This window comes from Homo sapiens, chromosome 3 (assembly GCF_000001405.40).
Source record: "Homo sapiens chromosome 3, GRCh38.p14 Primary Assembly".
NCBI lineage: Eukaryota > Metazoa > Chordata > Mammalia > Primates > Hominidae > Homo > Homo sapiens.
The window spans coordinates 47,907,958-47,921,026 of NC_000003.12; the positions used below are offsets into that span (position 1 = coordinate 47,907,958).

The window sequence follows — 13,069 nt, forward strand, 5'->3', positions numbered from 1 at the left end:
TTACCCAAAAGAACAAGTCCATACCATGCAGAACACAATCCCATGATGAAACCTCTCTAAAAGCCTGACTGGCTACTAAAACCAATTGGTGTTTTTTTTAAATTCTGGAGTTAGTAGCTACATCATGCAAGCTGGGAAACAGTGATTAAGAAATAGTGTCACTTGTAGGCTGTGAAAAATCTCAAAGACAAGGGAACATTTTTTGAAAGCTAGATTCAGGGAAGCCACGATTAAATGTATACTTTTTTGGGGAATTGGGGGTGGGGGGAAACGGGGCTACCATTTCTAAATCTTAAAGGAATCATCTTCTTAATCTCATTCCAATTACTTGACTGAATAGAGCCAAAAAAGAGTAAAATTATGAGGAACACAACATGGGCAAGTTTTATGGACTATGTTTGATGGACACAGACTATGCCCAAAACTCAAACCCACATGGAACTGTGGGGCAATGGATATAAGCAACAAACTGGTCAAAAAATGTATCTGTATCATTGAGAGATCATTTCCCATTACTAGAAACACAAATAAATCGGTGCCTACCAATGCTGGTTTGAGGCCACCATTTCCTCATAAGGAGGTGGACTGATTTCATTTAACCTAAAAGCAGTTTGGATATTTAGTCCCACCAGCACAAGCTACATATAAATTGAAAAAAATCTCATGCACATAGCTAGACATGAAATATTTTCTTTCCTCCTGTGAATCCTTATACCAAGTAATGATTAAAATTTAGCTGTAAACTTGATACATAGGAGGCACAATTTTAAAAAAATTAAGAAATGGATGATGATAGGTCTTTTGTTAGACAATTCATTGAAAATTCAACTTCCCCTAAAATTCAACGTTCAGTGCTGGGTAAAAAAGGCATGCAACCAAGTTACCAGCCTCCTCAAGCAGGACACAAGGAACACATTGGCTGCAGAAAACACACCGTAGCAGTTATAGGTTTCATGCCAACAAACCAATGATTAACAAGGATGATTAGAGTCTGGATGGAGCCAAGACACAAGCTCTTTGCCTTTCTGATGCTGACTCAAAAGCCACAAGCACACACATTTCCCCATGGCAGGTTCATACCAGCGGACTTCAGTTGCTTATGTCTCTCTTGTTCCTGGATTGTAGACTTTGGCAAAAGTGGAGTAAGTCCTCGGGACTTGGTGGGTCTCATGTAGCCTTTCATTGGTTCTGCCATTCTGCTTTTATCTTCCTTTTTCCCTTCTCCTGGTGTCTTTGATTCAGATTTTTCTGTCATTTTCTGAGGTGTCTCCAAAATCTTATCTTTGGGTTCTGGGAGTCGAACACCCTTGGAAGCAGTCATTATTACTAACGTATCCGCCACCTCTGAAGGAGGAGCTTCGACTTTGCTATGTAAGAAATCTGACTGGATTTCTGGTGTTGGCAAGGAAACGCTTTCCAATTCCGTGATTTTACAAGCCAGACTAATTTCTTTCAATTTATCATTTTCACTTTTTGGAGACAAAAGAGTCAGATCTACCTTCTTATTCAAACTATCTGAACCTTTGGAATTTCTATCTTGAGCATTTTGGTCCTCACAAAAACTGAGCTTTTGTGCTTTGTCTTCCAGTAAGTCAGGAATCTGAACTGCAACAGACCCTTCTTTAGTCTCTTTCTCTTCATTCACTGGATGTGCTGGGAAATTACCTCTATCTGCATATCCTTCTAGGGCTCTGGCCTCTCCTGGTAGGCTCTGGTCTTCTACTGGCACTCCAGGAAGGAGGTGACCTTTTGCTAGCTCTGTGACTTTCTCTACTGAATGCTTAGACGCACCACTGTGCACTGACTCAGATTCTCCTATCACATGCCCTTCATCGATCCCTGCTTCATTTTTCATGGAATCAGCAAGCTCAGCTTTATTCTTAAGAGAGTGATCTCCATGAATGTTAACTGTTTCTATGGCTGTTGTAATAGGTAGAGCAACTCCTCCTGTGCTTGTAGAGGGCACAACAGCAGAGGGACCCTTGGGTCTTTCTTGACCTGGGACTCCATCTTTGGTGTAGTTATCTACCATTAATGATTTGGAAATCTGGGCTGGGGCTATCTCTTGCCCATTTTTTGCCAAGGTATCTGGAAAGGAATCACCTTCCTTTACTACTTGAGGAGTAGGAGTGGGCAGTTTTTCACAGGCTGCTGATTCCAGAACCTCTAGAGGAGATGATTTATTTATCAGCTCTGATGGTGTTCTGGGACAGGTAAATGTAATATTTCTATTTTCGTCCATATAGGCCATTCCTTCAATTCCCTGGTCCCCTGTGGTTTCCATGGGAACATGTATTTTTGTTGCATCTATCTTATTCTCCAGAATGTGCTTCTCAGGAGAACTATTTTTAACCTTTTTACTTTTTCCATCATTACTCCTTTTACTTGGTTTGTCAGCCACTGCAGTGTATCTATTGGCTGCATCTGTCTTATTCTCCTCAGATACTACTGAAGGAACAAATCCTGCCCCCTGGATTTGCTCTTGGCAGCTCACATCTGTCACCTTGGCAGGTGGTTCAGTAACAGTAGAAGCCTTGACTGTGCTTATCTTGTTTTCCCCAAGAGTCCCAAGCTCAACAAAATTAACCTGAAAATTTCCACCCTTCCTGTCAACTGCTTCCACTGTGGGTGTATCTGGTGTATGTGAGAACGAAGAATCATGCATTTTGGGGAAAGTAAATCCTATTTCCTTGCTTTTATGGGGAATACTACCAGTATCTCCATCCTTCCCTTCAAAAGGTGGGTTAAGGATTTCTTCCTTCCTCTCCATTCTAGCAGGCTGTGTGGAATAATTATTTTTAAACTTTTTGCTTTTGCCTTCATTGCCTCTCTTTTTAGGCTTTTCAGAAATCCAGGGAGCTGCCTCATGATCCTTCCATGGACACCTTCCTTCCTTGCTCTGGTTATTGACACCCATATCTTTGACTACATCTCCTGTTTCTGTGCTAACACCAGAAGTCTGAGTCATGCCTGATCCACTTTCCAAAGGAATCAATGCCTGCATGGTGCCTGCCACCTTAGGCTGAGTCATCTCTTTAGGCTCCCCCATCACCACTGCCTCCGTGAGATCAGCCTTAGTGCCTGGTTGCTTTGAAGAATTCAGCCCCAGCTCCTCACTCTTATCCTGAGTAGTCATTCCTTCAGTTTTAGAGACTGGCTCACTCGGTATGAGAACAGCCCTTCCGTCCTTCTGGCTGTCCAGAAGAAATGGCAGCTCAGATTTTGCTTTTACCTTCCCAGAATCTGTTCTCATTTTCCCAGAACTTCCCCTTCCCTTCCTGCTTTTGCCATCACCTGCCATTCTCTTAAATGGTTCATTCTCTACCCCAGGGACCTGTACCAACACTTGGCCCTGCAGCTGCTCAGAAGTAAAGATGCTGATCTCTTGTCTTTCGTTGGGAAAAGCTTCCTTTTTTAGTTCTTTATCCTCTTCAGCTCCTTCAGGAAACTCCTTCAGTTTGACATTCTGCAGTTTAGTCATTTTACTTTCATTATTCCCTTCTTTTAGATTACATTCTAATGGATTACTTGCTATCAAAGTGGGTACCAAATTTGGTATTTCTTTTGCTGCTGTGGGTTTTGAAACTACACCCATAACCTCTTGGTCCAAGAAAGGAGAGCAACCCTCTTTAAGTCTGATATCCAAAGGGGTTTCTACATTGTATGCAGAAACTTCTGCTAGGGGTCCTTTCAGATTGAGAGGGCCTACTGACTGGCTTTTATCTACAGGAGTCTTCAGGTGGGGTGCAGGCTGTGGTTTGTATTCATGTTGCTTCAGCAATTTCTTGTCTTGGTTTTGTAGTACTGACTTGTTACTTTTGCTCTCTTCCTCTACTCTCAGCTTAGACTGAGAACTTATTGCAGTTTTGGGGGCTTCTTCAGAAGGATATAAAGGAATTCTGAGACTCTCTGAGACAAAGTTCTCAGCTACCAGTCTGGCTGCACTGGAGTTAACTAAACATTCCCTTTTCAAGTTTTCTCCAGATACAAGTCCATATTCTGTACCCATAGTGGTAGGCTGGCTGGGGAGAACACCTGATTTTTGTGTGTCAGCTGCAAATGGATGACCTTTAGGCTTATCTGCATTGTCATCATCCGAAGGTCCTCCAGCCCGTGGTTGAGAATATCTCTTTTGCTTTGGTTTCTTCTTCTTTTTCTTCATCATTATTGGTGTGCTTTCTATATCCCAGGCCTCCCTGCCAAGATCCCTCTGGGGTTCAAGTGAGTCAACATGAATACTTTTTCTTTGGTTCCCAGGCCCACCACAGGAGGATGAACCAGAGACCCAACCTGACTCAGACAAAGAGCAGTGGCCCAGCCTGTGATCAAGAGTCTTCCATGGAGGAGAGCCTCCCAGCAGCTCAGGAGGGACCCTGGCAGGCTTGGGCCGGGTTGACCTGCGGTCACTGGGTCTGCAAACTTGTTTGGCTTGTGTGGGAGGGGTACCGCAATACATGAAGTTGGCTAAAATTCCAAACAAAAAACTCCTCGTTATTGTTTCTTAAAAACAACAAAAAACAAACAAACAAACAAAAAAACCAGACCATATAAATGACTAATTTAAGGAGGCTATTTTCACTAATACATATAGTACTTACTGTAATTTGCTCAGGAAAACAGTCTTTTCTAAAACATTTCTCACTTTTAACTGGCGCTAGCAAAAATATTTAACAGATCATCATCTCAGGTAAAGATTGTTTTCAAACATTTATAAAATATTTGAAATTTCAGAAGTAGCAGGATTGAACTTTTAAAAATGAAACATTTCACATCTTTTAACCTCTAAAAATAAGCACTTACTGCCTGTAAATCTCATCTGATTTATATTGGTCATTCTTAGTGCTTGCCTCTTTTTGGTGAAATTTATTAATTGCTTCAGTTAAATATACATGATTTTGGACAAAATTTATAATTCTAAGACTAGGTCACCAATATTAAACTAATACTTGTCAAACAAACCAGACAGATTCTGGGAACTAGATCAGAAGGCCAGACTTAAGTCACTTCACGCACACACACAAAATATACTGAATCCACATTTTGGTCAGAGAAAAATTCTCATGATTCCAGAACCAGAGCATCCTACTTTGAAAGACAAATATGTTAAATTTCAACATTCTGCTCCTAAATGTACTTCCCAAAAGACAGAGAAATATATATAATGTTAAGTAGGATAATTAATTTTAACAATTAAGATGAGTACCTTTGGAAGAGTTTCAGCAGGTGATCTGGTCTAACCTTCCTCCCAGTTAATATAATATGGATCCAAGATCCTGGCAAGAGTCTCATTAAGAGCAGGTATATGCCAGCTCCTGTCAAGTCTGACCCAATAAATTGATTTCCAAGAATATTATAATATGTAAATAGTGGATTTCATTCTTGTCCTTACCCCTCCAATATCCTCTAAATCCTAGCCTTTGTTTAATATCTCAGGTTAATTATTGCATCGCTCAAAAAATTGCTAGGCTATAGTATCCCCCAGTATTTATAACATTTAATTCAGCAATTAATCAGCAGCTATTCAGTGCCATCTTTTATACTATTTTATTCAATTATTATGTAAATCTTGGGTTTCAGAGTTCATGCCTGAGAACTTATCTCTTCATTCAGGTTATAATATAATAATTCAGGGGGCAAGGACGGGGACTTAAATATCTATATGCCTTAACATGGTGTATTTTGTATACCATAAGCACTTGATAAATCTTTACTGATTTGTTGAGTCAGTAAAACAACATTTAAAAAAAAAATCACACATTTATTTAAGCTCTAGTCTTGTGCTAGGTAGTGTGCAAAGCATTAGAGATTCTAAGTGAAATAAGTCATGGGCCCTTATGTCCCATATGTCAGGATGTCCACATTCCAATCATAGTCACAGAAAAGTAAACAGAAAATCAAGTTGATAATCATATACATATGCTTCTGGGTTATTAAAAACAGGTAATCTTCAAATTCACTGAATAATCAAACTTTAAATTGGAAAGTATCTTAGAGCAGTACCTCTCAAAGTTTAATGAAAATTAGAATTATCTGGGGATCTAATTAAAATGCAGATAATAATTACAAAGGCCTAAGGTAGAGCCCAAGATTCTGCATTTCTACCAGCCTCTCAGGTAATGTAGATGCTGTTGGGCCATGGAACACTGTAACTAGTAAGACTTTAGAGAACATTTGACCAATTAATTTATATTATAGCTAAGTAAACTGAGATATAGGCAAGTTATGTAACTTGCTTAAGACCACACAGGATAGAATAGTGAATAGCTGAACCAGATCAAAATTTGGGTGTCCTTTCTTCACTATGAAAACAGTGGAGAAGGCCAGGCACGGTCGCTCACGCCTGTAATCCCAACACTTTGGGAGGCTGAGGTGGGCAGATCACCAGAGGTCAGGAGTTTGAGACCAGCCTGGCCAACATGGTGAAACCTCATCTCTACTAAAAATTAGCCGGGCATGGTGGCAGGCGCCTGTAATCCCAGCTACTCAGGAGGCTGAGGCAGGAGAATCGCTTGAACCCAGTAGGTGGAGGATGCAGTGAGCCAAGATCACGCCATTGCACGCCAGCCTGGGCGACAGAGTGAGACTCTGTCTCAAAAAAAAAAAAACAACGACAACAACAACAAAAAAAACAGTGGAGAAAAAAAAAATTAGGTATCCTGATTTGCTGTAGTAGTAATTTTTAAAGATATAACAAGCTGACATTCTGTCTAAACCAGATAAAATCTGTCTAAGAGAATTGACTTCATAAACTATACTGCTGATTACCACCATACAACAGGGAACTAGAGACAATGTCTACCATCACTACTCTATCGCCCCTAATTTGTTTCAAAGAGTTCATTTTGTTTTCCTAACTTACCTGAGGTCTCTGAAGAAAGCTCAGAAGGTTGACTGTTGCATGGTTTCCTTTCCCCTAGTTTTTCTAACACAGAATCCTCCTCGGCCGGCAAGCTGCACTTTTTCCCCGTTCCTGTGACGGTTTCTAAAGGTAATAACAAAAGCCACACACGTTTCAGAGAAGCATGATTTCAGCTATTTTCCATCTGCCAGAAATTGGATATGGGATTAGTTTCTGAGGAGTTCTCCTACAAGGGGCAGCAAAGGAGTGAAGTGGTAGTTGGAAGCTGAAGTTGGGAAGGTATGTCTAGTTATGTTACTTTTTTTTTTTTTTTTGAGATGGAGTTTTTCACTCTTTGTTGCTCAGGCTGGAGTGCAATGGTGCGATCTCGGCTCACCACAACCTCCGTCTCCCAGGTTCAAGTGATTCTCCTGCCTCAGCCTCCCGAGTAGCTGGGATTACAGGCATGCGCCACCATGCCCGGCTAATTTTGTATTTTTAGTGGAGACGGGGTTTCTCCATGTTGGTCAGGCTAGTCTTGAATTCCCGACCTCAGGTGATCCGCCCACCTCGGCCGCCCAAAGTGCTGGGATTACAGGTGTGAGCCACCATGCCCGGTCAATGTTTCGTTTTTTAAGATGGGAAAAATAACAAACGTTTGTTAAATGGGTGGGAATGATCCAATGAAAAAAGATTTAAATTGGTATGAGGGGCAAAAAAGGGAAGAATACATGGGGCAATATATCGAGTAGGAAAGAGGAGATGGAATCTAGGGCAAAATGAGGAGAGGTTGGTCTTAATTAGGAGCAGGAACAGTTTACTTATAAAAACGGGAACTTTCATAAGCAGAGACCATGGATACAGATACAAGTAGTTGGGTAGATAATGGAATAGAAGTTTGTCGATGTTCTATTTTATTGCTTGACTTATCTGCAAGAAAAACAGGACAATCAGCAGAGAATGAACATAGAAAAGGTGTTGGAGGTGGGAGGAGGGTAAAGGCGGGAAAGAGTTGTCTAGGAGAGCAGGAGTATGAATAAACTTGCAAAGTACAGTGTGACTGTCTGTACTTTACCTGGCATGATGTTTGTCCTTAGTCTTCTCGAGACTACAACCTGGTAGAGAGAAATACTGAGAATAAGCACAAGCACGTACCTGGTGAAATCATGAAAGTAGGTGCAGCTGACTGCCCCACATCCTGCAGAGATTCTAAATGGGAATCCTCACTTATTCCTTTTTGTGTTTGTGCAATTTCCATGTCTTTAATTGGAACTGGTGTTGCCTCTGTTTCTGAGAGTGGTGGAACATCTTTGGCTGGAGTCACATTGTTGGCCAGGGTCAGAACCCCATCCTTAGCCAGGGGTGCTTCTGTTTTGAGGGCTGGGACCTGATCCTCAGTCAGGGCCACCTCCATTTCTGGAGGCAGACATACGTTCTTGATGAGAACTACTTCTGTTTCTGGAGGTGGAGTCACATCCTTGCCCAGAGCCATTTCTGTTTCTGATAGTGGAGACATGTCCTTCAACAAGCCCACTTCTTTTACTGTGGACGGAGCCACATCCTTGGCCGGGGCTATTTCTGTTTCTGGGAGTTGAGCCATGTCCTTGACTGGGGCCACCTCTGCTTCTAAAGGTAGTGCTTTATCCTTGGTCAAGATCACGTTGGTTTCCGGGGGCAGTGTCATGTCCCTGGCCAGGGCTACCTCTGTTTCTGAGGACAAAGCCACCTTCTCAGCAGAGGATATTTCTGTGGATGATATAATGTCATTAGCCTGTGCCACCTCTATTTCTGAGAGTAATACCAAATCCTTGGCTGGGACTATCTTGTTTTCTTTGGGTGGTCCCATGTCCTTGGAAGGAGCCAAGTCCATTTTTATAGGAGATGCCCTCTCTGTTTCTTTCTTGTTTTCTTTGGGTGGTCCCATGTCCTTGGAAGGGGCTAAGTCCATTTTTATAGGAGATGCCCTCTCTGTTTCTTTCAACAGTGTCACATCCTTGGCTGGGGCTACCTCTGTTTCTGTGGGCAGTACCACATTCTTGGCTGAAGATACATCTGTTTCTGTGGGCCATCTGACATCCTTAACCAGGGCCACTTCTTTTTCTGTGGGTAGTTCCATGTCCTTGACTAGGGCCATATCTGATTCCATGGATGGCTGCATGTCCTTGGCCAGTGTCACATCTAATTTGGTGGGTGATTCCATATCTTTAGCCAATGCCACCTCGGTTTTTGTAGCTAGTGCCATGTCCTTGGCGAGGGCCATCTCTGTTTCTTTAGATGGTGCCATGTCAGTAGTCTTCAGTCCCATCATTATTTCCAATGCTTGTGCTGGTGGCCTCTCTTCTGATGCCATTTCTATCTCCTTGGCTAGCTCTAAGGGAACTAAATTGGAAATTTAGGACACATCATTGTCTACTCATACCTTTGCATTAAAAATGCTTACTTTCTTCAGGCATGAGAGTATTTGGCTTTTGTGACCATAAGACTGTACACATAACTAAGAATTAATGTTAGGCCGGGCACAGTGGCTCACGCCTGTAATCCCAGAACTTTGGGAGGCCGAGGCGGATGGATCATCTGAGGTCAGGAGTTCGAGACCAGCCTGACAAACATGGTGAAACCCTGTCTCTACTAAAAATACAGAAATTAGCCATGCAGTGGCAGGCGCCTGTAATCCCAGCTACTTGGGAGGCTGAAGCAGGAGAATTGCTAGAACCCAGGAGGCGGAGTTTGCAATGAACCGAGATCACGGCATTGCACTCCAGCCTGGGGGACAGGGCAAGAGTCCGTCTCAAAAAAAAAAAAAAAAAAAGAAGAAGAAGCTAATGTCAAGTAACATATTCTGCCTACTCTTTGACAGTCTCAACACTTGGAAGAATAAGATGTAAAATACTGGGAGGACAAGTAGTGGAGGAGAAATGGCAAAGAAGAGAGAAAACATAGGCTTCAAAAATAACACGGGCACAGAATTAGTATTAGAAAGATAATCTGTGGGACAGCAGGTCAGTCATGCTTCCTATCAAGAAAAACTCCAGAGTTCTAAATCTGTACTGAATTTTTGTTTTTGTTTTTTGAGACACGGTCTCACGCTGTTGCCCAAGCTGGAGTGCAGTAGCATGATCTCGGCTCCCGGGTTCAAGCAATTCTCCTGTCTCAGCCTCCCTAGTAGCTGGGATTATAGGTACACGCCACCACGCTGAGCTTATTTATTTATTTATTTAGCTCTTTCACCCAGGCTGGAGTGCAGTGGCGCAATCTCGGCTGACAGCAACCTCTGCCTTCCGGTTTCAAGTGATTCTCCTGCCTCAGCCTCCCTAGTAGCTGGGATTACAGGCACCTGCCACCACGCCCAGCTAATTTTTTGTATTTTTAGTAGAGACGGGGTTTCACCATGTTGGCCAGGCTGGTCTCGAACTCCTGACCTCAGGTGATCTGCCCGCCTTGGCCTCCCAAAGTGTTGGGATTACAGGCGTGAGCCACCGTGCCTAGACCAATTTTTGTATTTTTTGTAGAAATGGGGTTTCACCATGTTGGCTGGGCTGGTCTGGAACTCCTGACCTCAAGTGATCTGCCTGCCTCAGCTTCCCAAAGTGCTGGGATTATAAGTGTGAGCCACCACACCAGGCCGTAAATCTGTACTGAATTAAAAAAAAAAATTCTGATACCTAATACAATGAAAATGTGATGAAAAAAATATATATATGTTAAAAAATTTAAAAAAAGTATTTATGTGCCCGTTAACCCTAAGTGTTATAGTTCAACAATTTAATTCCTCCAGTGGTGATATCACTAATATAAGCAAAACATTTGTGATTGTTCTGAAATTTTTATACCTGCTGTAAGCTGCTAAAAAATACACCTGATGATTTATATTGATTACCAATACTGCAACCATTAACTGATAAAGGGAGTCTCTAATAGTTTACCTGCCGTTGGCTGAGGAGGTTCTGCAACAGCCTCTGGGGAAACAAAGGACTCTGAGTGTGGAGAGTTTAAGGCTTCCACAGACCACCCCTGAGGTACAACAGCTGTGTTGCAGGGAGACATACCTAATATTGAAACACAAACAAATACATTTTGAAACTTAGTAAACATTGGAAACAAAAGGTATTTGATATATTTTTGTTTTGTTTTGTTTTGTTTGTTTTTTTTTTGAGACAGAGTTTCGCTCTGTTGCCCACGCAGACAGAGTGAAGTGGCGTGATCTCGGCTCACTGCAAGCTCCGCTTCCCGGGTTCACGCCATTCTCCTGCCTCAGTCTCCCGAGTAGCTGGGACTACAGGCGCCTGCCACAGCTCCCGGCTAATTTTTTGTATTTTTAGTAGAGGCGGGGTTTCACCATGTTAGCCCGGATAGTCTCGATCTCCTGACCTCTTGATCCAACCGCCTCGGCCTCCCAAAGTGCTGGGATTACAGGCGTGAACCACCGCGCCCGGCCTAAGAGGTATTTGATATTTAAAATCAGCTGCATATATTGCCAGGAAGACACAGACTAATAAAAAACAATGCAAAAAAAGTTTTTTTTCTTTTTTTGAGACAGAGTCTCGCACTGTCGCCTGGGCTGGAGTGCAATGGCACGATCTCGGCTCGCTGCAATCTCTGCCTCCCAGGTTCACGCCATTCTCCTGCCTCAGCCTCTCAAGTAGCTGGGACTACAAGCACACACCACCACACCTGGCTAATTTTTTTGTATTTTTAATAGAGATGGGGTGTCACTATGTTGGCCAGATTGGTCTCGAACTCCTGACCTCATGATCCACCCGCCTTGGCCTCCCAACGTGCTGGGATTACAGGTGTGAGACACCGCGCCCGGCCGACAACGCAAACAAGTTTTAAAGGAAACACTGCTGACATTCTTCAGGTTTTAGCTAGTTGTTAGTAGGTGGTATAGTATATCCCAGTAGTGCCATTAATCAACATTCACTGGCTACTTTCTATATAATATATAAAGGGTAATATAAAGATTCAAAATATTAATGATTGAACTCTAGTTCCAACACCACAACCAACATAATATACTATAGTAAAAAACTGCGAGTCTTAATTTCTTCATCTGCAAAATGAGATTAACACCTCCCTTTCCAACATTAGAAGACAATTTTATTAAAATACTTTGTAGCAGTTTTGTTGTTGTTGTTGTTGTTGTTGTTTGCCCAGCTAATTTTCTTATTTTTATTATATTTATTTATTAATTTTTGAGATGGATTCTTGCTCGTTGCCCAGGCTGGAGTGCAATGGCACAATCTCAGCTCACTGCAACCTCCACCTCCCAGGTTCAAGTGATTCTTCTGACTCAGCCTCCTGAGTAGCTGGGATTATAGGTGTCTGCCACCACTCCCAGCTAATTTTTGTATTTTTAGTCGAGACAGTGTTTCACCATGTTGGCCAGGCTGGTCTCGAACTCCTGACCTCAGGTGATCTGCCCACCTCCGTCTCCCAAAGTGCTGGGATTACAGGCATGAGCCACCACACTCGGCCTAATTTTTCTATTTTTAGTAGAGATGGGGTTTCACCATGTTGGCCAGGCTGGTCTCAAACTCCTGACCTCAGGTGATCTGCCCGCCTCTGCCTCCCAAAGTGCTGGGATTACAGGCATGAGCCATTAGGCCCAGCCTAATTTTTGTATTTTTAGTAGAGACGGGATTTCACCATTTTGGCCAGGCTGGTCTTGAACTCCTGGCCTCAAGTGATCCATCCGCCTTGGCCTCCCAAAGTGCTGGGATTACGGGCGTGTGCCACTGCACCCAGATGGTTTTTTTTTTTTTTTTTTTTTTTTAAGACAGGGTCTCAACTCTGTTGTCCAGGCTGGAGTACAGTGGCATGATCATGGCTCAATGCAGCCTCGACCTTCTGGGCTCAAGCAATCCTTCCACCTCAGCCTCTTGAGTAGCTGAGACTACAGGCATGTGCCACCACGCCTGGATGAATTTTAAAATTTTTTGTAGGACAGGATCTCCCTATGTTGCCCAGATTGGTTTCAAATTGCTGGGCTCAAGCAATCCTGTCACCTCAGCTTCCCAAAGTGCTAGGGTTACAGGCATGAGCCACTGTGTCTGCCTGTAAATGAAGAAGTAGAAAAATGTGGCTGGGTGCAAAGGCTCACGCCTGTAATCTCAGCACTTTGGGAGGCTGAAGCGGGTGGATCACTTGAGCCCAGGAGTTCAAGACCAGCCTGGGCAACGTGACAAAACCCCATCTCTACAAAAAATTAGCCAGGCATAGTGGTACACACCT

General features: G+C 42.8%; 1 protein-coding gene across 163 annotated transcripts in view; it reads right to left on the minus strand.

Moving 5' to 3' along the window:
* Positions 1-13,069, minus strand: part of MAP4 (microtubule associated protein 4) — a 238,154-nt gene that overhangs the window by 57,263 nt on the left and 167,822 nt on the right. For 89 of the 163 annotated variants that reach the window (NM_001384845.1, NM_001384867.1, NM_001384839.1 and 86 more), the window contains 3 exons: positions 10,762-10,884; positions 7,994-9,217; positions 6,860-6,982 (listed from right to left, as the gene is read on the minus strand). The exons of 6 other annotated variants lie outside the window; for them this stretch is intronic. In NM_001384845.1, coding sequence (NP_001371774.1) covers positions 6,860-6,982; positions 7,994-9,217; positions 10,762-10,884 — 1,470 coding nt within the window. Of the gene's footprint in view, positions 1-1,080; positions 4,465-6,859; positions 6,983-7,993; positions 9,218-10,761; positions 10,885-13,069 lie in introns of all 163 variants that reach the window. 68 more of the 163 variants (NM_001384862.1, NM_001384680.1, NM_001384753.1 and 65 more) reach the window with 9 other exon arrangements.